General features: G+C 51.3%; 1 protein-coding gene and 1 long non-coding RNA gene across 7 annotated transcripts in view, besides 9 other annotated features; one reads left to right on the top strand and one right to left on the bottom strand.

Moving 5' to 3' along the window:
* MYO18A (myosin XVIIIA) overlaps nucleotides 1-25,346 on the top strand; it is a 109,277-nt gene that overhangs the window by 14,579 nt on the left and 69,352 nt on the right. The window lies entirely within an intron of this gene.
* LOC124903967 (uncharacterized) lies at nucleotides 834-25,346 on the bottom strand. 2 transcript variants are annotated; one of them, XR_007065692.1, is made up of 3 exons: nucleotides 11,793-11,973; nucleotides 8,714-10,609; nucleotides 834-3,380 (listed from the first exon to the last, which is right to left on the bottom strand). It is a non-coding gene; the product is annotated as an uncharacterized LOC124903967 (long non-coding RNA). The 2 variants fall into 2 exon arrangements; XR_007065693.1 differs by lacking the exon at nucleotides 11,793-11,973 and adding an exon at nucleotides 25,294-25,346 and having other exon boundaries at nucleotides 1,719-3,313.
* Nucleotides 9,515-9,809: a silencer, noted in NCBI's record as "tiled region #271; K562 Repressive non-DNase unmatched - State 14:Gen5'". NCBI's record gives its function as "represses a minimal TATA promoter and a strong SV40 promoter by Sharpr-MPRA in K562 cells {active_cell/tissue: K562}" and the evidence as "EXISTENCE:reporter gene assay evidence [ECO:0000049][PMID:27701403]".
* Nucleotides 9,515-11,800: a biological region, named in NCBI's record as "P300/CBP strongly-dependent group 1 enhancer GRCh37_chr17:27481880-27483079".
* Nucleotides 9,759-10,958: an enhancer, noted in NCBI's record as "P300/CBP strongly-dependent group 1 enhancer chr17:27481880-27483079 (GRCh37/hg19 assembly coordinates)". NCBI's record gives its function as "activates an origin of replication core promoter dependent on BRD2, BRD4, P300/CBP, MED14 and CDK7 cofactors, with strong dependence on P300/CBP, by STARR-seq in HCT116 cells {active_cell/tissue: HCT116}" and the evidence as "EXISTENCE:reporter gene assay evidence [ECO:0000049][PMID:35650434]".
* Nucleotides 10,873-11,800: an enhancer, noted in NCBI's record as "H3K27ac-H3K4me1 hESC enhancer chr17:27481038-27481965 (GRCh37/hg19 assembly coordinates)". NCBI's record gives its function as "activates a minimal SCP1, AML or CMV promoter by ChIP-STARR-seq in naive H9 embryonic stem cells {active_cell/tissue: H9 hESC(naive)}" and the evidence as "EXISTENCE:reporter gene assay evidence [ECO:0000049][PMID:30033119]".
* Nucleotides 15,925-15,974: an enhancer, noted in NCBI's record as "active region_11967". NCBI's record gives its function as "activates an Ori minimal core promoter by ATAC-STARR-seq in GM12878 lymphoblastoid cells {active_cell/tissue: GM12878}" and the evidence as "EXISTENCE:reporter gene assay evidence [ECO:0000049][PMID:35858748]".
* Nucleotides 15,995-16,184: an enhancer, noted in NCBI's record as "active region_11966". NCBI's record gives its function as "activates an Ori minimal core promoter by ATAC-STARR-seq in GM12878 lymphoblastoid cells {active_cell/tissue: GM12878}" and the evidence as "EXISTENCE:reporter gene assay evidence [ECO:0000049][PMID:35858748]".
* Nucleotides 16,565-17,044: a silencer, noted in NCBI's record as "silent region_8365". NCBI's record gives its function as "represses an Ori minimal core promoter by ATAC-STARR-seq in GM12878 lymphoblastoid cells {active_cell/tissue: GM12878}" and the evidence as "EXISTENCE:reporter gene assay evidence [ECO:0000049][PMID:35858748]".
* Nucleotides 24,902-24,951: an enhancer, noted in NCBI's record as "active region_11965". NCBI's record gives its function as "activates an Ori minimal core promoter by ATAC-STARR-seq in GM12878 lymphoblastoid cells {active_cell/tissue: GM12878}" and the evidence as "EXISTENCE:reporter gene assay evidence [ECO:0000049][PMID:35858748]".
* Nucleotides 25,102-25,191: an enhancer, noted in NCBI's record as "active region_11964". NCBI's record gives its function as "activates an Ori minimal core promoter by ATAC-STARR-seq in GM12878 lymphoblastoid cells {active_cell/tissue: GM12878}" and the evidence as "EXISTENCE:reporter gene assay evidence [ECO:0000049][PMID:35858748]".

The raw sequence follows: 25,346 nt of genomic DNA, 5'->3' as shown, positions 1-25,346 counted from the left end.
GCCCTGCTGCTCTCTGAGCCTGTGGGGAAGCATGAACTCAGGAGAAGGTGCCCCATGCTCATAATCCTCTGGGGGTGCCACCCCTACAAACAGCACCCCCACCAGGTTTAACCTAATGAAGAAAGACAAGGACATTAAAGGAGTCACACCTTCGTCTCTCAACCTTGTCTGGGAGCTGAGGACAAGTCCCCAAAGGTTCACTGCAGTAGAATTCTGAGCAGTTTGGCCAGGCCTCATGGTTTTATGGTTCCCTCCTGTGTTCTGTGTCTGTTGGATTGACCTAACTGAATTCAGCGGAATGCCTTTCTCAACGGTGCTGGGATAGACCAAGCTCTGCCTGAACCTTAGTTTCAGCCCTGGAGCCCTTGAGAGAGCTCTGCTGTTGGTTAGTAATTACCGTGAAAGTATTCAGCTTCTTCATTACAAGGACAGGTGAGGGGTTTGGGCACCATATTTCCTGAGCCCTAAATTGGGGTGTATAGGCTAACATGTGTCACTTCCAGATATAAGAGACAATCTGGACAGTAAAATACAATATTTCCATGGTATTTAGATCTTGGGGATAAAAAAGGACAAATGATTTCAAATTAGGGCCGTCATGGAACATCTGAGATGTATAGCTGGTATGATTATATCTTTGGGAAAGATGACCTCAGGCCAGAGCCTCCTCTTGCCCCTGAGTGAGCAAGGAAATATCAGGTGAGGCTGCAGAGAAAGCAGGGGCAGATCATAAAGGACCTTGTAAGTCACAGTTGGAATTCAGATTTCATCCCAGTGAAATGGGACTATTGAAGGGTTCGAAGCAGGGGAGTAACTGGATCTGATTTATAATGGTCACTTGGGCTCCAAGAGTCTTTATTACCTCTCCTGGAAGGAGAAAAAGCATGGACCTGGAAAAGCAAGAGGGATAAAACCTACACAGATAGTATGTCCTGACTGTCACTGAGACCCCAGCTGCCCGCGCAAAAAGAGCAGCAGGAGGCACAGGAGCAGAGAGGTTTAGATCAGATGGAGGAGCGGATCTCCATGGGGCATCAAGCTCACTAATCCCAGGGGTCTTTTGATAGGGTGGCTACATAGCAGTTTGAATGTCCTGCCTGGAGATAGTATACGAAGGACAAGTGACCACCTCTGGCCATCTTCCCTTCCCAGCTGTGGGTTTTAGGACCGTCCAGATCTGGCCCCTGCTGCTTGACCAGGACCTTTTGGTACTAAGTGACCAGCCAGATGTGTCAAAGTCAGAAATGGGAGGAAGTGCTAATGGGAGGAAACAGGCAGAGTCCCGGTCCCAGCTTTCTCCCAGGGAGGGGAAGCAGCTGCTACTCAACCCAGTAGTACCTTGGGCCTGAAGAGGGGCTGGCAGTGGTAGGGTCAGACTGTCAGGAAGCACTGTAGTTGGGTTCCAGGCCTTCCTTTAACCCGGAGCTAGCTGGGTTTAGGCAGCTTTGCTAGTCAGGGAAGGGTAGTGAATGGGAGGAGGAGGCCTGTGTGGAAGACCTGGACTCTTCATTCCAGAAGCACACATTGAGCACCTACTATGTTTTAGCCACCAGGTTAGGTGGAACTCAGAGAACCACGAGGTAGAGAGGGAAGAACAAGGAGGGGTCTTTATGTCAGAAGCAAAGACTGGGCTGGGTGGTGGTGGCTCACGCCTGTAATCCCAGCACTTTGGGAGGCTGAGGCGGGTGGATCACTTGAGGTTGGGAGTTCGAGACCAGCCTGACCAACAGGAAGAAACCTTGTCTCTACTAAAAATACAAAAATTAGCTGGGCGTGGTGGCGCATGCCTGTAATCCCAGCTACTCAGGAGGCTGAGGCAGGAGAATCACTTGAACCCGGGAGGCGGAAGTTGCAGTGAGCCGAGATCAAGCCATTGCACTTCAGCCTGGGCAATAAGAGCTAAACTCTGTCTCAAAAACAATAACAGAAGCAAAGACTAACATGTTGCCATGCCTGTCTGCGTTCTTCCAGGCTAACGCTGCTTTTAACAGATGGAATTTTCTTCTTAAAGAATGAATCCCCCAGGGGATTGTTGCCAGCTCCCTGCTGAACCACAGCAAGGCCTCTGTGGGGCCCTGGGCCTGGCATCCCAGATGCTGTTTGGTTTTCTCTTTATAGCACAGGGATCATCCTGGCATCTCAGATTTTCCTAGCTTTCCCTTCCCAACTATCTGCTGCTATCCCATCCCTGGGGAAGTAGATGGTTTAGCTTTGGAGGCCCTGGTGGATTCCAAGTTATAGCTGGTATCCCTGAAATGCTGGCTCACTCTAGCTCCTATGGGGTAAGCCCAGCTGGTGCCCAGAGGACTTCTTCCCCGAGCCTCAGCCTGTTTCATCTGCCAGAGGACACAGTAGCAAACCCCATCCCCATGCATCTCCTAGAGCCATGTGGCAGGATAAGGAGACACATAGGGCTGAAAGAAGCCCATATCTTTTCTCACCCAGGTAGGTGGTGGGGACTCATACCACAAGCAGAGAGGACCAGGGTGAGCCCAGCGTTTCCAGCTTCCTGGGACAGGGCTGGGAGTGGCGTGGGGTGCTGCACCTCTTCTGTACCCTCAGCCTGTATCTCCTCCTCTTCCTTTTACTCCTCCTACTCCCTGTCTTGGCAGCAGTTCTAATCCCAGTTATGCGCCAAGAGAAGTCTTCCCGCCTCCTCCAGACTCCTGGGAGGGATACCCTGATGACTGTAGCCCCACAGGGACAGCTCTTGCTGGCCACCCTGCCATCAGGCCATCCATCAACTGTGTCCACACATTGCCTGTCCCCAGGGAGCTCTGAGGGAGCTGACTAGCCATCTGTTATCTTCCTGCACACAGATGGGGCCAGGCCCCCGGCTCCTCTCCATGGCCTGTTTAGAAGGCCCCAGGGAGACACAGCCCCTTGGGTTTCCCTCTCACATGGCGTGTGTCCAGAATGCTGGGTTCACACCTTCATGTGTCCTGGTAGCTGCTAGATGAGGTTCCGCTGGGAGCAGGGGTGAGCCACAGTGGTAGGGTAGATTTGTGGCCTGGTAGAAATCAACCAGCAGGCCTGGGAGAACACCGTTTTCTTCTGCCATCATCCTTCCACCTGCCCATCCATTAGGGAAGCATTTGTTGAGCACTTACTGCATACTAGGTCCTGGGCTCCAGCGGTGAGCAGCACATAATCCCAGCCCCAAGGAGCTCATAGTAAGCGGGAGAGATGTTCCAGTAGCAGACCATGACAGTACCCTCTGAGAAGCTCAACCACAGGGGCCAGTCCTGGTGCTGGGAGTGCAGCAGAGGGGCTTCAAGTCCAGTCTTGTGGATGGGTCAGCGAAAGCTGACATCTGGGTAGTAGATGAGTGAAGCGGAGGCAAGAGGAAGGGAAACACTGTCACAAACACATGCCAAGGCCTAAAGTTATGGAGAGAGAATCACATATTTCAGGAATAAGGCTGGGAGACGGTGTGTGGGAAGGGAAAGCTGGGAGAAGCACTAGGAGGCATCCACGGGAGCCAGGTCATGGAGGCCCCTGTGAGCCGTGCTGGGGAACGTGAACTTTAACCAAAGGGCACTGAAGCAATTTAATCAGGGAGCAATAGGAACAGGTTTTAGGAAATCACTCTGGCTGCTTATGGAGCATGCTCTAGGGTGTAGCAAAGTTGGCTGTGGGGAGAGTGGTGAGGGAGTGATTGTGATCCTAGAAGAATGGATGGAGACCTGGACTCAGGTAGAGGCAGTGGGATGGAGAGCCATCTCAGACTCGAGCAACTGAGTCAGACTCTGGGGTCTTGGTGACCCACTGGTAGGGGCCTGAGGGAGAGGAGGGGTCATGTGACCGCCAGAGTACTGGGAAGATGCTACATTCTTTCCCCTTTGATTCCTTAGGGAAAGTTCTTGGGGGGCATCTGTATTTGGATCAGTTACTCTTAAGTTTGCTGAAGGCCAAGTGTTTCCTAAGTCTGGTGAGATTAGGGGAGATGTTGGTAAAGTTGAGGATCTCAAAACCCCAGTTGGATCAAAATTCCCTCCTCCACTTCCATAAGTCCGGATGGGAAAGTCAAGGCCCATTGAGAAGGGGCAGAGGCCAGGCTGGAGACTAGGGCCTGGGAGAGGAGAAGGCGAGTCTGTCTGTATCCTCAGTCGGTCCATTCTAGGGGAGGACAAATGGAGTCCCTTAGGACGAGGCATGTCCTCCTGCATCTGGGAGTATAGGACTTTTCTGCTGAGCTCAGAAAAGCCCACCCAGCTAAACCCTGGCCAATGTGGTTGTCCTGCCATGGAGAGCCAGAGGTGCTGGCCAGAAAGCAAGGCCTCCTGAGCATTTTTCTTTTTTTTTTTTTTTTGAGACAGGGTCTTGCTGTCACCCAGGTTGGAGTGCAGTGGGGCGATCTTGGCTTATATGCTCAAGCGATCCTCCCACCTCAGCCTCCTGAGAAGCTGGGACCACAGGCACACACCACCACACCTGGCTATTTTTTTTTTTTTTTTTTTTTTTGACATGGAGTTTCACTCTTGTCACCCAGGCTGGAATGCAGTGGCGCGATCTCAGCTCACTGCAACTTCCGTCTCCCTGGTTCAAGCGATTCTCCTGCCTCAGCCTCCTGAGTAGCTGGGATTACAGGTGCCTGCCACCACGCCTAGCTAATTTTTATATTTTTAGTACAGGTGGGGTTTCACCATATTGGTCAGGCTGGTCTCGAACTCCTGACCTCAGGTGATCCACCTGCCTCGGCCTCCCAAAGTGCTGGGATTATAGGCGTGAGCCACCAAGCCCAGCCTAATTTTTGTATATTTTATTAGAGACAGGGTTTCACCATGTTGCCCAGGCTGGTCTCAAACTCCTGAGCTCAAGCTATCTACCTGCCTCAGGCCTCCCAAGTGCTGGGATTACAGGCGTGAGCCACTACACCTGGCTCTCCCTGAGCTTTTGAGAATGTGGTGGGAAGGGAGAGGGGGTCTTAAAGGAAGGCTTACCACTCCCTCCCAGCCAAGTCTAGTCGCTGTGGTAGGGGTACTTCTCCTGGTGGACCGTGAGGCTGCTAGTTGGAGGTTTTAGTGTGTGGGGTGGAGTTTCTAGTCAAAGGCTTTCAGGCTGTCGGGTTCCTCATGAGGTTGCCATGTTCACATAAACCACCTCCACGCTCAGGTGGGTTTGGGAGAGGACATGTTACAGTGGAAAGAGCATGGGCTTTGGAGCCAGAAAGACCTGGGTTTGGGTTTTACCAAAGTTATCAAACCTTTCAGAGCCTCAGTGTTCACTTTTCCCTCAGTAAATATTTAATGAAGTTGACCTAAGGACCGGGCACTGTGCTAGCACTGGGGGATTAAATAAACAAAATATAATCTTTCCTTGAGGAAGCATAGACCTAAGTAAAGAAATGCAAAGCTGCTATCGCAGAAGTCTGTGCAGGCATACAGTGGGGCAGGAGGAAGTTCTGCCTGGGGGAAGTGGGGGGCAATCAGGAGAGGCCTCCTGGTGAAGGTGACCTGTGATCTCTATGAAATAGGCCTATTCTATCCTCCCAGAGGTTGAGAAGGTTAAGTTGGAGAAAGATGCATACCCAGTGAATTCACTCCAATTGCCTCTGAGAAGCAGAATAGAATTGCAGGCTGAAAGGAGACTTGCTTTTTATTCTGTATATTTTGTGGGTCTTTATATAAGGTAAGCATGTTTATGTTAGGCAAGTTCACGTATGTGAGATGTTGGCAGGTGGTAAATGCTTAGAAACATTAGTACCCTTCCCTTCCCTGTGCCCAGTCTCTAAAGCCACCCTGGGAGGGTAATTTTGCAGCTTCTTTAATGAATCCATCCTAGTGTTCACCCATCCTTGCTCCTGAGGTTTTCTGATGCTTTCGTCTGGATTTTCCTGTAGCCCTAGCCTTATAGACGCCATCTGAAGGGAGAGATGGCCTTCTGGGTGCTTCCTATCCTTTTCTAGCTTATTAGAGGCCAGCTTCTCGGGCCTGCAGGCTTGGCCATTGGTGGCCCTGCAGGAGATGGGCAAGTCAGGGTTGCCTGCATCTGGGAGAAGGACAGGAGAGCCCTTTTGCTGTAGGGGAAGCCCTAGACCCCTGGGTAGAAACTGTATGAGCCTCATCAACCTTGTCCCTAGGGTACCTGGCTGCTGCCAGGAGTGGGGCCTGCAGGATTCCAAGGGAAGACTCAAAATGGTCTTGCCTCCAGGTCTGCCAGGCCGGGTTTGGAGCACTGGGCTTTCCTAGGGCCTTCTGGTGGTGGTGGAGCAGCTGTGTGCTGCCTGGCTCAGTGTTCTACAATGCTTCTGTTCCTGATTTTACTGCAAGTGATCCTTGGAGCGTTTTTGTTTTGTTTTGTTTTGCTTTGGGTTTTTGGTTTCTGTTTCTGTTTTTTTTGTTTGTTTTGTTTTGTTTTTAAAAACAGGAAATTTGTCTTCATTTTGTGCCAAAGCTTCAGGCACCCCTGGCATCTGAGTCTCGCCATGTGAGAATCCTGGCTTGAGGGCTCAGTGAGGGACCCTATCTAAGTCCTTTAGGTAATGAAGGGCTGGGGGCAGGGGGCAGGTGTCAAGGGCATGGGACGTGGTGGGTGAAAGGTCTTTGGGATTGTCTATTGTGGAGTAGTGGGATGCAGGGGACTGTCAGGGCGAAGCAGTGGACTAGATCATTTCCAGGGCTCCCTTCTCTGTCCTTGGAGGCACCATTCTGCCTTCTTCCTTATGAGATGCTCGATGAATTGCAGCCCTGGAGTACCGTGGCCATCCAGCCTGTGGGTGGTGGGCACAGTGCCCAGGCTGCACTGACCTGAGTATGGGTACATGACATGGTCATGGCTGCTTCTGTGGGCACAGCTTGGAGCCTTGGTGCAGGGGCAGGGTCTTAAAGGTAGCCTGCCCTTGCCTCTTCCTGTCATGGTCCCTTCCTGCCTGCCCTGACACCCCAAGTCACCCTGCCCTCTGCTCCCTTCTAATCTCTCTTATTTACATTGGACTGGTTCTGGAAAATACCAGATATGCAAACACCCTGACTGGGGGTGAGTGGGGAGTAGGGTGAAGGGGAGTGTGTGGCGGGTGGGAACACAAGTATTTTAAAAATGCTGCAAATCTCTACAGCATTTCCCAGAAACCACAGGCACGCGCTGCCTGCCAGCAGGGCTCCCGCCACCCCAATGCACTAAGCTGCTGTATTCTACTCACTGCAGTCTTGGGGGGACGGTGGGGACTGGTGACCCAGCTGAGGTGAGGGCTCCCCTGCTGCCTGGGCAGGCAGCCTGGCGCCTCCATTGTCAGTCCTGGGCAGCGGGTATGGTTGTGCCCCAGGCATCTGGCAGCACTGAGGGCGCCCACCATGCCAGACAGCCACTGCGAAAGAGCGGAGTTTTCAGGGCCCCCACCTCTGCTGTGCAGTTTGATGGGGGGCAGCCAATTCAAGAGTCCCGCATGGTGTTTGGCAGCAGCTTCTGTTCTGTTAAATACAGGGGACAGTGTTAGCAAAGCTTATTTTTTCAGTTGTGGGCTCTAGTTTGGTTGGGAAACTATTTCCTTAGACCTGGGTCACCCCTCGGGCTCCCTTAATCTCCCGCCATATGTTCTCCAGAATCAGGGCATGGTGTTCTGCCCTGGTGCGACTCAGCCCGGTTGCTTTGCACAGACTCTGGGCCAGGGCAGGATGTCGGTGTTTGCCGGGTGTTCGCCGGGTGTTATCTGTGGCGCTCAGTATGGTGCATAGTGTAGACACGTGCCCTAGGTGGTGTTTAATTGATCTGGGTAAGACTCAGCCAAGGCAGGGCACAGTGGCTCACGTCTATAATCCCAGCACTTTGGGAGGCTGAGGTGGGCAGATCGCTTGAGCCTAGGAGTTTGAGACCAGCCTGGGCAACATGGCAAAACACCATCTCTGCAAAAAATACAAAAATTAGCCAGAGGTGGTAATGCACACCTGTAGTCCCAGTTACTTGGATGGCTGAGGTGGGAGGATCCCTTGAACCTGGGAGGTTGGGGCTACAGTGAGCCGTGATTATGCCATTGATTATGTCACTCAACTCCAGCCTGGGACACAGAGCAAGACCCTGTCTCGAAAGAAAAAAAAAAGACTGAACTAAACAGAAATGCCTTGGGGGAAGGGCATGAAAAGTTCTGGCAAGGTGAGGATCACGTCTAACATTCACTGTAGGTTAGGCACTGTTCTCAGTGTTTACATATATTCACTTATTTAATTTTCTCAACAACCCTTTGAAGGATCATAACAATCTGTTTTAAAGTGAGGAAACTGCATTACTGAGAGGTTAAAGTTAGGCAAATTGTGTAAGGTTGCACAGGTATTAAGTGACTCACCAGGACTTGAACTCAGGCCATCAGCTCTTGACTAGTCTGCTGTATAGGGGAGAGCAAGGCAGTATCCGGATATCCATATAAATCCACTGCCTAGCTCAGACCTTCTGACTCCTGCTGCCCTGTCACTAAAAGCCTCTTCACCTCCTTGTCATCCTTCCAGAAGGAAACCAGGAGTGATGGGCCACTCTTGAGCTGTGGTGGTGTGCTGCAGAAGGGTGTGACCATTGCTCTCAGTGTCTCCTGAGGGTTAGCCAGAGGAAGTGAGCCCAAGTGGCAGCAGGCAGGATTCAATCTTGTGGGAGCCGGGAGAGGGAAGGGTGGAAGAGGGACGCCTTAAGAAGAGAAGTGGCACCTACATTGGCAGCATTTGATGTGGTCCCCAGGAGTGGAGGGCCATATGCTAGATCTGGGAGTCTGGGACGTTGCCCCTCTCACCTTTTTGGCCCATACTGGCATGCTAGTGCTGATCTCCATAGCACTTGGGGTGACAGGATCCCTGCAGTGTCACCTCTGACCAAGAGTGGGCTCGCCGTGTTGCTCAGGGCCACGCTGTTGTTTCCTCTGTGTGTTGTGGAAAAACAGTGGCGGAGCACAGCCTGGCAGAGGGCCTAGCAGTGGTGGGGGCAATGCAGGCTTCTCACTGGCGTCTACCCTTGAGCTCCTGCTGTTCCTTTTGTCTGTAGCCCCTTTCCCTGCCCTCCCTTGTACACTTCTACACATTGGCTTCAGTTTGAATATCACTTGTCCCTGATCCTCCCAGACCATGTCAGGTCCCCACCTGGCAACACCCCAGCCTTCTCATAGCATTCACAAGATGGTAATTACTGAGTTATCTCATTCCTTCTCCAGTGCTGGAGCACTGCATGAGGGCAGGGGATATTTGTTGAAGGAAAGAGATGGTTCTGTACTCAGGAACTGGTTTCTCATTCTCTCTGTTCGGTCTTCCAGACCAGAACCAAAACTTTAGCTCAGTTTTGGGTCCTGGACCCCTCCTGCTCTAACTGACCTTGGTGACTTGTCTCTAGGACCTTAGCGTGTCCCATCTCCACCCATGGACTGTTTCTTGCATGCCTGGGGCCTGGCATCTCTCACAGGACTGGAGGAGAGGCAGCTCTGTGGGCATCCAGGAGCAGGAGCCTGGGAAGGGAGGTCCTGGGGACAGGCTGCCTCCTGCCCCCACACAGGAGCCCACATGAAGGTGCCAGGCTTGGGTGAGAAGAAGATTCAGGATTACATGGGGGCTACGCAGTGTCTGTCTCAGACCTTGGAGGAATGCGCCTGTCTCACTGGCTGTAGGTCTCTGAGGGGCTGGAATGTGGCCCAGTGGGGCTTCCTCTTCCCTTCCGCTGCTCTCCCTGAACTGCCTTCATACTGGAATGTCAGCAGGATGGGAATTTTCACAGCAAGGATCTTACCCAGTCACAGCAATGGATTCCAGCTGGAGCCTGGGGACAGCTCCCACATGTCCCTACCAGGGAGGAGAGAGTGGGTGCTAAGGCAGCCCCAGTTGCTCTGCTCCTGGGGCCCAGGCTCAGCTCCCATCCCCTCTGGGAGACAGTTTTGGTTCCTGGAACCTTCCCGCTCTGACTGGCCTAGGTGACTTGTCTGTAGGACCTTAGCATGTCCCTACTAGGCCAGGTCATGGGGAACCTGGGCTTCTGGAGCTGTAGGGCTCAGGAGAGGGAGTGGGAGGCCTTGGAGCCCAGAGACTCCATCTCTGAGGAGAGAATGAGGCTGGCCATGTCCCACAAGGCCTTGCTACCTCTGGTGTGAACATGAGTCAGGGAGGGGAGCCGCCTCGGATTCCATCCTCAGGTGGGGCCAGGCCTCTGGACCCAGGTTCTCTGGCCTACTGGGGCCACCCAGCCTCGGTTGGAGGTGGCCCTGCCGAATTCATCACCTGTATCTGTCTTGTACTCTGTGGGTCCCGCAACACCTTCGGGGCCTGGTTCCCTCTCTTAGTGACCTTTCTGGCTCCTGTGCCCTTTGCCCCCGATCTCATTTCTGCTGGCTCCTCCCTCCCACTCAGATTTCTGCAGGGAGCTGACTCACTTCCTCCCTCCCTCCCCAGCACCTCTCACTGCCAGGCCCTGGGGCAAGCAGGGTCCACACAGGGCGGCAGGTTCTTCCCATGGAGCTCTTCTCTGGCAGCAGGACTGAGGCTGCCCCGGCCCTGGGGCAGAAGAGGGCTGCATGTGTGGTGGGGAGGAGGCAGAGCTCTGTGCTGTAGGAAAGGCCAGATGTGGATGTCCCCAGAGCCTTGTTGCAATCAGGGTGGGACGTCAGGACACCTTGATGAACACTGCTCCCTGTCAGCCCCTGAGCCTGGTTCTGTGGAGAAGAAAGGCTGAAGATAGCACCCTGTGATGATGGAGCCTGTGCTTCTGCAAGGACAGAAGACGTGTGCAGGAAGATCTATCTCAGCCCTGGGTGGCATGGGCTAGAGGCCAGGCAGTGACAGCACCGTCAGGCAGCGTGAGACTGTCATGACTCTCCGTGACACCCAGTTTCATGCCCGGCCCCAACACATCAAGGGGAAAGTATCTAGAGATTCCAGTAGAACCTTCCAGGGACATGGCGAGGGGAAGGGTCTGATACCATCTCCTTGTGTGGTTAGTTCTTCCTGCTGGGGGCCCTTCCCTCATGCCCCTGCCCCTCCCTCATGTGTGGACTGCTTTGGTTGTGGAGCTGATTGCAGAAGCACTGGGCTCAGAGCAGTAAAAGATTTCCTCCCCGGCTGGGCTGGCATCTTCTGCCTCGCCCTCCCCAGAGCTGTCCAGGCTGTGGGAGCTAGTGTGCCTGGCACTTCAGGCATGGGGGGAACCCAGCATGTGCTGAGCCTGGCACAGCCCTGCCTCCTCTCAGCAGGCACCTAGGTTCCCTAAAGGACACGGGCACAGGCTGGGTCGAGTCCCCACTCACTTGGCCATGCCTCAAGATCAACAGAGGCAAGAGGGAAACTGGGCCCCCTGCCTGAGAAGCCTGGGGGGACTGCTGTGGCCTGTCTTCCTGGAATCGGTGACCAGCAAACATCCCTATTCCCCTTAGCACTTGGCTTTGCCTGGCAGAGCCCCGATTGCCCTGGCAGCCTGAGATTCTGGCCTCAGGATTTCTGAACAAGAAAAGGGGTTTCTTGCTTAGATGAGGTGAGGGGCAGGCAGGAATGAAGCCTTCTCCTAGGGGTACCAGCCTGACCACCTCACCCCAAATGCCCTTGCCCTCCCTCGAGGGAGGTGAGCCACCCTGTGCGGGCACACTGAGGCCTGTCTACACGCCTCTCCCAGGGCTGCCTGATCACTCTTGCCTCCATCCATCATCACCTAACTTCGACCTGGGGAAGAGAACCACAGAACTGGGTTCTGTGGCAGGACACCCAGCTTAGGAATGGCCTAGGCGCCACATACACACGCACGCGCGCGCACACACACACACACACACACTCTGCAGAATTTAGAGTGGGTTGTCCTTTTCTCCCAGACCCCTCCAATTTCTGCCATTTGCTTCTAGCCCTTACCTTCTCTGTCCAGAGGAAAGCAGCTGGCTTCGCACCAGAGGACTTTGTCTCTGGGGTAGGGGAATCAGTTTTCCTGCTTTAATCAGGGCTTTGGGGTCCTCCCCCAGCCCCCTTGTCTTCCTTTGATGACTGATTTTGAGGTCTCTCTTCTGTGCTCTGAAAGAGGGACCCATCTTATAAAGGGTCCTCTACCCTTTGTCCCGCCCATTTTCTTCAAAATCCCAAAACTGCTGCTCTCATTGTTGCTGTAGAAACAGATGCTTGTCAAACATGAAGTTGCTTGGAAGGACTAGTTTTGGCTGCAGGAACTGCTTTCAGCTCATCTGGGGAGGAGAGAGGAGGAAGAGAGGAGGAGAGAGAGAGAGGGCCCTAGGCAAGGACCCACAGGTGAGGAGTTGTGTGTGGTTGCGAAGGTGTTGTTAACACATTGCTAAGTATTGGCTACAGCTTGGCCTCTGGAGCCAGACTGCTTGGGTCTGAATCCTGGCCATGCTGCCTACTGGCTGAGTGACCTTGGGCAAATTATTTAATTCCTCTGTGCCTCATTTTCGTCATCTATGAAATGAGAATAATCATAGTAGTTTTAGTCCAGTGTGGTTGTTCATGCCTGTAACCCCAACACTTTGGAAGGTTGAGGCAGGAGGATCACTTGAGCCCAGGAGTTCAAGACTAGCCTGGGCAACATAGTGAGACAAGCCCAGACAACATGGTGAGACCCCATCTCTATTAAAGATACAAAAATTAGCTGGGCATGGTGGTGTGTGCCTGTAGTCCCAGTTACTCAAGAGGCTGAGGTGAGAGGATTGCTTGAGCCCAGGAGTTTGCTGCAGTGAGCCGTGATTGCACCACTGCAGTCCATCCTGGGTGTCAGAGCAAGACCCTGTCTCAAACAAACAAGCAAACACAAAATAATAGTACTTTCCTTGTAAGGTTGTCTTGAGGATTAAATGAATCAATACATATAAACCACTTAGAGCAGTGCCTCAAAATAGTGCCTAGAGTCAGTGAGCATTGGCCAGGCATGGTGGTTCACACCTGTAATCCCAGTGCTTTGGGAGGCTGAAATGGGAAGATCTCTTGAGGCTAGGAGTTCAAGACCAGCCTGCGAAAGATAGTGCTACTTTGTACAAAAAGTAAAAATATTAGCCCAGTGTGGTGGTGCATGCCTGTCCTAGCTACTTAGGAGGCTGAAGCAGGAGGATCGCTTGAGCCCAGGAGTTTGAGGCTGCAGTGAGCCATGATCACACCACTGCACTCCAACCTGAGTGACAGAATGAGATCCTGTTTAAAAAAAAAAGAAGAAGTGAACATTATCATCATCCTCATTAATCTGTCTCTGGTACGTCAGGAAGCACTGGTGCCTGGTAGCTTGGTACCCGCAGGAATGTCACAGGTGCTGTTCCTGTTAATGGCTCAGCTCTGCTCACGGGGAGTGTTGGAGAACTGCTTTATTCTTGTCCCCACGCTGATGCTTATGCCCAAAGTGCCTTTCAGGTAGAGATGGGGAACAGGCCTAAGCTTACTCAGGGCTGCACAGTAATCTTAGCGAGGGATTGCTTTGGCCTGAGTTTCCAATCTGGTCTGAAGTTTGATTCCAGTTTTTAAAATTGGGCTGCTTTCTCTGTGACTCCCTCCAGTCAGATTCTTAGCTGATGGCAAGACCTCTGGAGTACCAGGTGTCTTTCTACCTATTTGTTTTCCATTTGAACAAACTCACCCTACTTTTTGGTCTTTCTACAATTTATTTTGTTTCTTCACACCTGTCTTGCTCCTGACAGCCCATTTAGATTAGGACTAAGCAGGAATTGAGGCATAAAACAGAAAGACAGTCCTGACCTGCCAGTTCCAGAGTCTGTCCTCTGCTCCTTCCACCACCCATATGAGCATGCCTAGACTCTCCCACTTGTGATTTTTACTGCAGCAAAACCTCTCCAGTGAAGTCTCTGTGACGGAACACAACAGTGGTCAGACCCGCCAATCTGTTCCTTTGCTCTTCTGTGGATGCGGGGCTGGGGGGCTTCTCTGAGCCTCCTCTCCAGCATGTCAGATATGTCCAGAGTCCATTCTCCACCGTGTCCTCCCCTTCCTACTCCTCCTTTGCTTCATCTAGTTGGTGACACAGGGAGGTGTCCAGTTATGGGCCTCACTGCTCCATGGCAGAAATCCTGGCATGCCCTGGATGAGGCTTCATTGGCCTTATTTGCTGTTGAAAGTTCAGGATTCTGTTGGGACTTCTGATTCTATAGGAGTACTAACATCAGATAAGTCCTGCAGCGGGTGGCTTGGGGAAGCCCTCAGGCCACTGCATTCCAGATGTCTTACTCGTGCTTGGCCCAGAGAATGCAGAAACAAGGAACCATTGTGTGATTGTGCAGGCACTGAGGGGCTTTCTCCCAGGCCTGGGACGCCTTGGGGTGGGAGTAGGTTTCCATTCAGTCTTGGCTTCTGCTCCCAGCTGGGTATTAAATTGTGACTACAGTCCCCTCCTCCACCTCTTTTGGAGGCCTAGGGAACAAGGCAAGGCATGTGTGGATAGGAGTCTAAGCAGACTCTGGGGTGAGGAAGGGAGACAACAGCAGGTAGGCGGGGGCATCATCTGAAGGAGGCATTGGTAGAGGGACCAGGACACACTGAAAGGGAACCTCTAGACCAGACCTGCCCAACAGAACAATTTGCAAGGGTAGAAATGGTCTATAATGCTATCCAACTTAGTAGGAACTGAACCTTAAATTTTATTTGATTTTAATTTAATCAGAAGTATCCTCATTGTTTCCATTTAACTGGAATTTTTTCTGAGACGGGGTCTTGCTCTGTCACCCAGGCTAGAGTGCAGTGGCACCATCACAGTTCACTGCAGCGAACTCTTGGGCTTGAGTGATCCTCCCACCTCCCCCTCCCAAGTTGCTGGGACCACACTTGGCTAATTAAAAAAAAATTTTTTTTGTAGAGACGGGGTCTCACTATGTTGCCCAGGCTGGTCTTGTGTTAACAACACCTTTGCAACCACAGCAACTCCTGACCTGTGGGCCCTTGCCTGGGGCCCCCTCTCTCCTCCTTTCTTCCTCCTCTCTCCTCCCCAGATGAGCTGAAAGCAATTCCTGCAGCCAAAACTAGCCCTTCCAACCAACTTCATGTTTGACAAGCATCTGTTTCTACAGCAACAATAAGAGCTACAGTTTTGGGATTTTGAAGAAAATGGGCGGGACAAAGGGTAGAGGATCCTCTATAGGGTCTTTCAAAGGCACAGAAGAGAGACCTCAAAATCAGTCATCAAAGGAAGACAAGCGATCTTGCTGCCTAGACCTCCCAAAATGTTGGGATTATGGGCATGAGCCATAACACCCGGCCAGCTTCAATTTGAATAGCCACTCATGGCTAGTAGCTACCATATTGAACAGTACGGCTCTAAACAGCTCCCAGAAAGAAATAGTTGGGTGTTCTTGAAGGTTTGTTTCCTCCTTCAGAGTCCCCCTGGTAAGGCAGGGGATGGTGGCATTTCCCCTTCCTCTCAAGAAGGAAGAGCTGTCCTCTCTGGCAATTTCTACACCTCAACCACCACCAGCTCTGGAATCCTAATGCCCCAGGGCCAGCAGGTCCCTGGCTGTGTGCCACCACAACTGGGGCAGCGCTTCCTTTCCTCGCCAAGGATGTCTTCTGCCCAGCTTTGTAACACACAGGTACTCACATGCCCCAGTGGATTTGGCCCAGGCTGTTAGCACAGAGGTGGTGGGTTGGTAGGCAAGGTAGAGGCTTTTGCTTCTTCCTGTTTCTATGGACATAGGGTTTGTGCTTTATTTTTTACTTCAGAGGGTTTTAGAAACAGGCCCAATAGGGGCTCCAGAGGTGAACACACAGATTCTCAAATATTTATTGGATGTCCAGTGTTACGAGGAACCTGAGGCTTGTCTAGAAGAACTTCTCTGACTTTGAGAATAAGCACCACAGGCCTCCATCTCTCACACCCAGGAAGACCTTACTGATATTTTATTTAAATTGCTGTGGCTGACCCTTAAGCTGGCTTCCTTTTTTTTCTTCTGTGGAAATGGAGAAGAGTTGTCATTTATATGAAAAAGAGAACAATGCTTCATTATGTTTATTCCCTCCTGTCTACCAGAGGGGGTGGATAGGAGAACATAGTGCATGTGGTACATTTAGGAGACCCAGAAGTGACCCAAGTCCTGATGAGATGTGGGGCAGGGCTGTGGAGGATTTTGGGAAAGGATCCTCAAGGCTGGCTCATGGCTTTGGGCCTTGGGGGAGCTTGGCAAAGCAGAGGCAATTTGGAAGTCCCCGGGGGCCATGAGGAAATCCCCAGCAGCTGAGAGACCTCAGAGAGCAGCAGGCCTGCTGTCGGGCCAGTCAGGTGGTCCCTGCAGTCGGCCGCATATGCCTGCCTAGTCTTTGGGGATTGACTCAGGGTCTTGGCAGAGAGGACAAGCCCAGGCGTCCCTACTTGGGCTCTGTGCCCGAAAAGGTGTGGTGGCACATGGCTCTGAGCAAACTGATGGGTGTGCCAATGCAGGGACTGGGTGGGTGTAGGGGCTGGGGGGAGTGTCAGAGCCCCAAGCCTCGGCGACCACCTCTGGGGCAGTGATCTGTGGCTCGCCGTCCCATACCCACTGACCTTCCTGATTGCTTGTCTCTAGACAAGCCCCTCTCTAGAACAGGCTTTCCTGGCGTCTTTTGACCTTGCATTCATGTATTCATTCATTTATTCCATCAATAAGCATTTACTGAATGCCTACTATATGTAGGAACTGTTTTAGGTTCTGGGGATAGAGCGGTGATAAAAACAAAGTGGGCACCGAGCTCATCCCTGCCTCTTCTTGCCCTACGCGTCCTGGGGACGGCGAGAGGCCATCTTGCCGCCGCAGCCCCCTCGGGCCGGAGCTCCTGGGGGACGCCTCCTGGGGGTGGGGCCTGGAGGCCGGCCTGGCGGAGGTGAAAGCGGCCCCAGCAAAGCGGGAGGGTAGATGAGAAGGGGGCTGCCACCCTCTGCTGGGCGCCAGCGGCGCTGCAGGGCGGAGCTTCCAGGGCTCTAGGCGCATGTGCTGGGCTTGGCCCCACCCCCTTGGCCCCGCCCAGGCTCCGGCTGGCCGGTGGGCCAACCCGGGAAGTGCCGCCCCGGGCCTGGGGCTGACTCGGCCCTCACAGAGCCTGACCCGTGCGTAGGGTGCTGAGTGGCTGGGGTGGCCCTGGGCATGCGCCGTTGGTCACTCCAGGTTTCCTCTCAGCCCTCCTTCTCCTCTCTGAGACCATCCCTAGGCTTCTTAAAGGGAGTCTGCCCTATAACCCTTCAGAATCCACTGGCTATCGGCACTGGTAGAATTTCATAAAAAATCTTGGCACCTCAATACCAATCGCTGTCTCCTAACACTACTGTTTCATACGAGGTGACATTTTGTTACTTACACACACACACACACACACACACACACACACACAAAAGAATAAAGGATAATTCCTCCCAAGAAAGGGAAGGGACTCCTGCGCTGGCATTTTCTTTGAGACAGGTGTAGACTCTAGTACTGGCCCTAGGGCTGGTGCTGAGGACCTCTGAAGTGGTCATCCTGGAAGTGCACCTGCCACCCTAGTGGCTGGGCCCTCCCACTTCAAAAGCAAGTGCTCCAGGCCCTCCTGGCCCTGAGCTCTGAGTGCTTTAAACAGGACTCTCCCCAACTCCCTAAATATAGTTCTATTATTGACACTTTACACACCGCAAATTTGTAATACAAGGATCATATAATTAGTACCCATTTATGGCAACAGTGCTTATAGACTTTTTTTTAGGAGTTTTGATTTACAGGGGAACTAGAGGGACAAATGGGGTCAGAGAAGTATTCTTTTGTTAAGATATATTTTGTTAAGATATATATATCTCATTGTTAAGATATATCTTAACAAAATATATCTTCCCAAGCTTTAAACCTTGGTATCTTTCCTTACTTTTCTCAATCTCCACCCAGACCCGCTTGTGCCCATTTCCCATCCTTCCCCAAATAGTCACCAAGTCCAGCTTATTTTTTCTCTTGAGTCACCCTCTCTTCCCCATCAACTGCCAGAATCCTAGGCAGACCCTTCTTATCTCTCATTTGGCATCACCTTTTACCTTGACTTCCTTTTTTTTTTTTTTTTTTTGTCACCCAGGCTGGAGTGCAGTGGCATGGTCGTAGCTCACTGTAATCTGTAACCTTGAACTCCTGGGCTCAAGTGATTGATCCTCCCACCTCAGCCTCTGAAGTAGCTAAGACTACAGTTGCAGGCCACCACGCCTGGCTAATTTTTAAATTTTTTGTAGACGGGTCTCTGTGTTTCCCAGGCTGGTCTTGAACTCCTGGTCTGAAGTGATCCTCCTGCCTCTGCCTTCCAAAGTTTTGGGATTACAGGTATGAGCCACCATGCCTGACTACCTTGACTTTCTAATGTTCTTTCACCTTCCAGCCTCCTTTCTCCTCCTCTTGCATCCTGTTAGCTCAGAATGTTTTTTGGTTTTTGTTTTTTGTTTTTAGGCAGGGTCTCTCACTCTGTCACCCAGGCTGGAGTGCAGTGGTGTGATCATGACTCACTGCAGCCTTGACCTTCCCTGGGCTCAGGTGATCCTCCCACTTCAGCCTCCCAAGTAGCTGGGACCACAGGCATGCCACCACCACACCCAGCTAATTTTTGTGTTTTTTGTAGAGATGGGATTTTGCCATGTTGCCCAGGCTGGTCTTGAACTCCTGAGCTCAAGCAATCTGCCTTCCTCGGCCTCCCAAAGTGCCGGGATTACAGGAATAAGCCACCATGCCTGACCTGCTCAGCATTCTTAAGGCACAGGTTAAATCATGCCCCATCACTCTCCAAAAGCTTGTTGTGCCTCCCATTGTTTTCCAGGCAGGTGGTGGTGTGTAAGGAGCTGGGCTCTGGAATCTGAACAATCTGAGTTCAAATCACCTGGCCAGTCACAATCTGTGTGATCACAGGCAATTATTTAACCTCTGTAAACCCCGTTTCCCCATTCCACAATTCCCCTTCTCATTACCTCGCAGGGTTTTGAGAGGAAAACCAGTAGCATGTGCCTGGCCATGGCTAGTGCTTGGTGTGTACCTTCTTGTTCCTTTGACTGCCCACCTTGCTTTCATCTCAGGTACAGCTCTTTCAGGTGAGAGTAACAGAAAGCCCAGCTCAACTGGCTTAAAAAGAAGATATGTGTTGTCACCAGTATCTGAAAAGTCCAGCAGTAGAACCGGCTACAGGCTCAGCCTTATCTGGAAACATTAACAGTGTGACCAAGACCTGACCTTTTCTGTCTCTCACCCCATCTTCTAGGCAGCCTTGGTCCTCAGACAAGTAATGGCAAAATGTCACAGCCCCAGGTTCTAGTTGTGTGGATAGAGATGTGTGACTCTTTGAATAATCCCCAAGTTTCATTATGTATCCTTGAAACTGATTGGGTCACATGCCCTCCATGAACCTATAGCCTGAGGATATTCTTATTGGCCAGGATATTCTTATTGGCCAGGGCGAAGTCATGTGCTGGGGTGGGTCCCCAGAGGGGAAAATGGAGTGCTATAATCAGAGGATGGAGGAATGGGTGGTGGGCAGCAGAAACAACACATGTCCACTACAGCACACACTTGCTTGATTTGAGACCCAGCTTCCTTCCCAGCTTTATCCCTCCCTCCTTGGTTTCCTATATGTGTCATACATTTCTTCCAGACTTACTGTCCACATCTCATGCTTTTCCACTTCTTTGCCTTTTATTTTATTTTATTTTTATTTTATTTTTTTGAGATGGAGTCTCTCTCTGTCGCCCGGGCTGGAGTGCAGTGGCGTGATCTCAGCTCACTGCAACCTCTGCCTCCCGGGTTCAAGTGATTCTCCTGCCTCAGCCTCCTGAGTAGCTGGGATTACAGGCACATGCCACCACGCCTGGCTAATTTTTGTATTTTTAGTAGAGACGGGGTTTCACCATGTTGGCCAGGCTGGTCTCGAGCTCCTGACCTCAGGTGGTCCGCCCACCTCGGCCTCCCAAAGTGCTGAGATTACTGGCGTGAGCCACTACGCCTGCCTGGCCCCTCTTTGCCTTCTCTTACACTACTTCTTCACCCTGGAATTCCCTTCCTACCTCATTGCCACATTATAACATTTCTCTCTTTCATTGGCCTAGCTCCAAGCTGTCTGTAAGCTGTCTACTTAATACCGTAACTGGAACAGATCTTTGCCTCTGAACTTCCCTAGACTGTTATTGACGTCCCTGACTTGAATTTTAATTATTGGGGTACATTTGTTATCTCCTCTGCTGATCTGTACATTTTTTTAAATCAGGAAGTATTTAGTTGAAAACAAGAACTAAATTATCTTCTTTCACTCAGTCACTCAAACGTGCCTCATATTGTCTCTGAGCAGGGCCCAGTGCTAGGTGAGTGCTGGGGATAGAGCAATGAACAACACACAACCTCTGCCTCAGGAAGCTCAGTCTGTGGTGGGGAAGCTGAAAAAGAAGCAGGCACGGTGCTTCCCCACAGTGTTCGCCTTGAGGTATTACAGTTCACAGCTAGTTGAATAAGTGAACGACTTCCTCCAGCCCTCAGAGCCTCCTGTCTGGCCTTCCCCCAGCTCTGCTTAGCCACTCTGCCTGGTCAAGTGCCTGAAACAGAGCCAAGGACCTTCCACTCATCCACGCCACCAATGTGGGAGAGCAGAGCAGTTGAAGTTGTCACCACACATGGAGATCCCCTTGTTCCCCACTCTATTCCAGCCCGTTTATTGTGCGTGCACCGTTCAGATCAGTTGGTTAAATCCATATGGATTTTCGTGGAACACCTTTTGTGTGCCTAGTGCTGGGGAACGGGATGGGATATAAAGGAAGTAGGAAATGGTCCCAGCTCTCCAGGGAGAGCAGGCTTAAACATTCAACACGAATCGATTATCATTCAGAACATTAGTTATGCTGTATAGTCATGGCACGTGGACAGTAAACTTCAATAAGTTCAACTATATGGTTGTGAAAGAAACTATATTACTGTAGCCTAAAATTATAAAAATAATATTTTGTGTGTTTTTACTATATGCTGTACATGACTATTATGCTTTCCTGCAGCTATATTATACCAAATGGCATACTCAAAATCATGTGTACTATACTTTGTGAGCAGTTTAAGGGATTTTCAGGAGTTTTGGACTATATTCTATTTTTGCCTTACGTGCTGACTTTGGAATCTAACCCCACATAGTGTGTGACTCCACTGTATATAATAGAGCACCATATTGAGTATAACCAAGAACCGTATGTATGTAATGTGTTCAGGTGTGGACAGTGAGTGCTATGGTTTATGATAATAATGATATTAATAATTTAATAACTATAATTTGCCAGGCCGCACATCAGTTGCTTTACATGTACTGCCTTTTCTATTCTTATAACAGCCTCATAAGGTGGATATCATACTATTTTAAGGCCAAAAAGGTAGAAACTCTAAGAAGTCAAGTAACTTTCCCTTAGGTCAGACAGCAAGAAAGAGGCTGGGATTCAGACCCAGGTGTGTCTGGCTGCCAAGCCCACGTTCTTTGCATTGCCGGGTGGGTCTTGGGTTTCAGGGAAGGCTTCATAAGGGAGGCAGGAGTTGAGATGGGCCTGGAGAGATGGAGAGGGTCAGCCAAGGTAGAGACACATTCGTAAGGAATGGCTCTGGTGGTGACAAGGGCAGGCAAATGACGGAGAGCCAGGCTGGCTGGGAAGAGGGAGAAGAGACTAGAAAAGTGAAAGTAAAGTCTGAGGAGGGGCCAGATTATAGCTTCCAGCTGTCCTTGGAGGCAAGCTGAGGGGCTTGGGGTGGCCTGGCTGGCTGTGGGAGTGTCCACATGGCCTCTGGAGCCATCAGTTAGACTCATCAAAGAAATGGACCATGCCCTGATATTGCACCACCACGCTTTGGGCAGCAGAGGGACTAGCTGTAGTTGCATGTGAAGCTGAGTGGAGACAGGCACACTGACAGACGAGTGACAGCTGATGGCCTAATGAGGTAGGGGACAAAAGAATTAAAAAGCAGACATATGGCCACAAAGGGCATCTGGCCTTCCTAATATAGGCATATGCAAGGCTTCAGCATGGTGGTGCCTAAGAGGGGCTGGTGCCCTTGGAGAGAGGCTGGGGCATTGGTGGGGCAGAAGCCAGGCTGCTGTAGCCAGGCCAGGAAGTCAGGAGTCATCATGGTGGAGATGGCGTGCCCTTCAGTACAGGATGGAGCAGAAATGGATTGGGTTCAAGAAGGAAAGCTCAGAGTGTGAGATCTTTGAGATGAATTAGGAGTGTTGTACTTAAGGAAGCAGGGTATATATGTTGGTTATTTTTAGGATTATAAATAGTATAGAATTTAGAAAATGACTTAAATCTTTTATCCCTTAAAAAGGGTAGGCTCCAGTTACCTGGAAATTTTGCTTACAATGCCTCATTTTTTCCCCCGCTTATGATCATAGGTAGATAATAATAGTTAAAATGTATTAAGGCCAAATGTGGTGGCTCATGCCTGTAATCCCAGCACTTTGGGAGGCTGAGGCAGGTGGATTGCTTGAGTGCAGGAGTTTGAGACCAGCCTGGGCAACATAGGGAAGCCCCATCTGTGCAAAAAAAAAAAAAAAAAAAACCTACATGGTGGCACGGTGGTGCATGCCTGTGATCCCAGCTACTACGGAGGCTGAGGTGGGAGGATGGGCTGAGCCCAGGAGATGGAGATTTCAGGGAACCAAGATAGTGCCACTGCACTCCAGCCTGGGCAAAAGAGCTTTTGTTTGTTTGTTTTGTTTTAAGTATTGAAAATGAATGTGCTGGACACCGTTCTCAGAGCTATGTATGAACTAATTCTTTTAACCCATGTAATAACCCCATGTGGTAGGTGCTATTATTTTCCCATTTTACAAATGAAGAAATTGAAGCACAGAGGCTGGGCATGGTGACTCACGCCTGTAATCCCAGCACTTTGGGAGGCCAAGGCGGGCAGATCACTTGCGGTCAGGAGTTCAAGGCCAGCCTGGCCAAAATGGTGAAACCCCGTCTCCACTAAAAATACAAAAATTAGCTGGGCGTGGTGGCGCCTGCCTGTAATCCCAGCTACACAGGAGCCTGAGGCACAAGAATCGCTTGAACCTGGGAGGCGGAGGTTGCAGTGAGCCGAGATGGAGCCACTGTACTCCAGCCGATAGAGTGAGTGAGACTCTATTTCAAAAAATAAAATACAAATGAAAAGAAGTTGAAACACAGAGAGATCAAGTTGTGTAGTTTACTTCATGCAAGAGCCAAGATTAAACCAGGCCGTGTGGCCCTGGAGGTCATACTCCTAACCATGGTATGCTGTGAATCATTCCTTTCAAGCCGTGCTTCTCAGACTTTAATGTGCCTCAGCATCACCTGGAAGCCTAGTTAAAACACAGATGCTGCACCCCATATCCAGAGTTCTTGGTTCAGCAGGTCTGGGTTGGGTTCCTGGAATTTGCATTTCCAACAAGTCCCCAGGGGATGCCCACGCTGCTGGCCTGAGAACTTGGAGAACCAAAGCCCTTTCACATACATTATGTACCAGTCTCATACTGGTTGGGTAAGAGTCAGTAAAGGTGTAATCCTCATTTTACAGATAAGGGAAATTTAAGTCACCTGCCTGTGTTCACACAGCTAAATCATTCATTCATTCACTCATTCATTTAACAAATGGACATTTCTGTGCTAGGCCTTATGCTGGCCTTAGAGTCTTGCAGTTCTCAGCCTTGGCTGCATGTGAGAATCACCTGGGGAGCTTTTATCAATAAAAAATCCCAGTGTCCAGCCAGGCGCAGTGGCTCACGCCTGTAATTCCAGCACTCTGGGAGGCCAAGGCGGGCGGATCACGAGGTCAGGAGATTGAGACCACGGTGAAACCCCGTCTCTACTAAAAATACAAAAAATTAGCCGGGCATGGTGGCAGGCGCCTGTAGTCCCAGCTACTCGGGAGGCTGAGGCAGGAGAATGGCGTGAACCCGGGAGGCGGAGCTTGCAGTGAGCCGAGATCACGCCACTGCACTCCAGCCTGGGCGACAGAGCGAGACTCCGTCTCAAAAAAAAACAAAAACAAAAAAATCCCAGTGCCCAGGCCCCTGCTCCCAGACCAATTATGTCAGAAACTGAGAGGGAAAGGGTGGGCTCCAGGCATCAGTATTTTTTTCAAGTTCCCCAGTGGATTTCAGTGAGCAGCTGAGGCTGGCACCATTGTTCTAAGTAGCCACTGAAGATGTGAAGACCTGTGACACTGCACGTGCTTCAGAAGGGCCAGATGCTTCCCCTGGGGGGACATCCCACTCCCTAGAGAGCAGGACACAAGCGCCGTGTCCTAAGAGTCTGTGTATGTGACTATATGACAGTGAGACTTGGACAGCGCATGGCAGGTAGGAGGCAGGGCTGGGTTTCCATCCTCTCTGGCAGTGCTTACCAATCTTTTCATGGAGAAAGTCAGACAATGTATAGAACCAATGGCCCTTAGAGCTGGCCAGGGGCAAGAAGCATGGGGTGTATGCCAGACTGGTTAGGAGGCGGTTCTGTATCAGGGCTTCCTAGCACCACCCCCACCCCATTTTTTTTTTTTCCTAAAGAGGAAGAGGGAGGCAATGACTGTTTCCTTTTTTCTGCAGAGCTGACGGCTTCTGAGACTTGCTCTCCCTGTCTTTTGGCCCCTTGACATTCTGTTCTCCAGCTCCCATTTCAGCGTCTCAGCGGGTCCCTAGTCCTGGTCTAGGCATCCCATGGTGCTAACTGGAGAGCCAGGCCAGGATTTCTCTTCACAAGAAACACTGGCTTTTCACAGGCAGCCATCACTCATTGGCTAGACACCCATGACTTCCTCTGTCTGCAGGGCTGAGGCCCACCCCACCCTCCTCTCTGCCTGTGCAGTCCCTGGCGTCTGTGGAGGGGAGAGGGATGTAAACAAAGAGAGTGTAATTGATTCTCTGCATGTCCCCTGTGTGCTGATGGCAGTGGGGCAGTAAGTGGGCCTGCCCGTGTGGGTCTCTGCTCCTGCCAGACCTTACAGGACTGCTTTGCGGCTGCTGTTTGGGCACAGTGTGCAGTGGGCCCCGTGTGCTGTCTTGGATGTGACGTTAGTGGCTGTCTTGGCCTCTGCCGCAGTAATTAGATGGCTAGGGTAGGCCTATGATTTGGGTGTTCTCAAGAACACTGTGTTGATTGAATGTTCGTGCATGCTGGTGTGTGTGTGTGTGTGTGTATACGTGTACATGCACATGAGTGCGCATGTGCTTGTCTCAAGCTTGGCCTGTGGGGCCGGGGGCTGCAGGTCTCAAATTCCTCTGCTATTTTTAGGAGCCATATCAGCCCAGCTGTCCCGGAGCTGGGGTGTGTGTCCATAGGCAAGTCTCACCCTCCCTGTCCTTGCCCTAACCCCCTAACACTGCCTGCCCCCCACCCCAATGGCTTTACCCTAAGAGCCTTCTCCTTCCCTTCCACACACACTGCTGTATCACCCTCTCCCTCCTGGCATACCTGATACCCGAAGTCCTCCGGGCTGCTGGCTCCAACTAGGGCTGGGCAGCTCG

Source organism: Homo sapiens, chromosome 17, assembly GCF_000001405.40.
Source record: "Homo sapiens chromosome 17, GRCh38.p14 Primary Assembly".
Lineage (NCBI taxonomy): Eukaryota > Metazoa > Chordata > Mammalia > Primates > Hominidae > Homo > Homo sapiens.
This window is presented reverse-complemented; position numbering and strand designations above follow the sequence as displayed.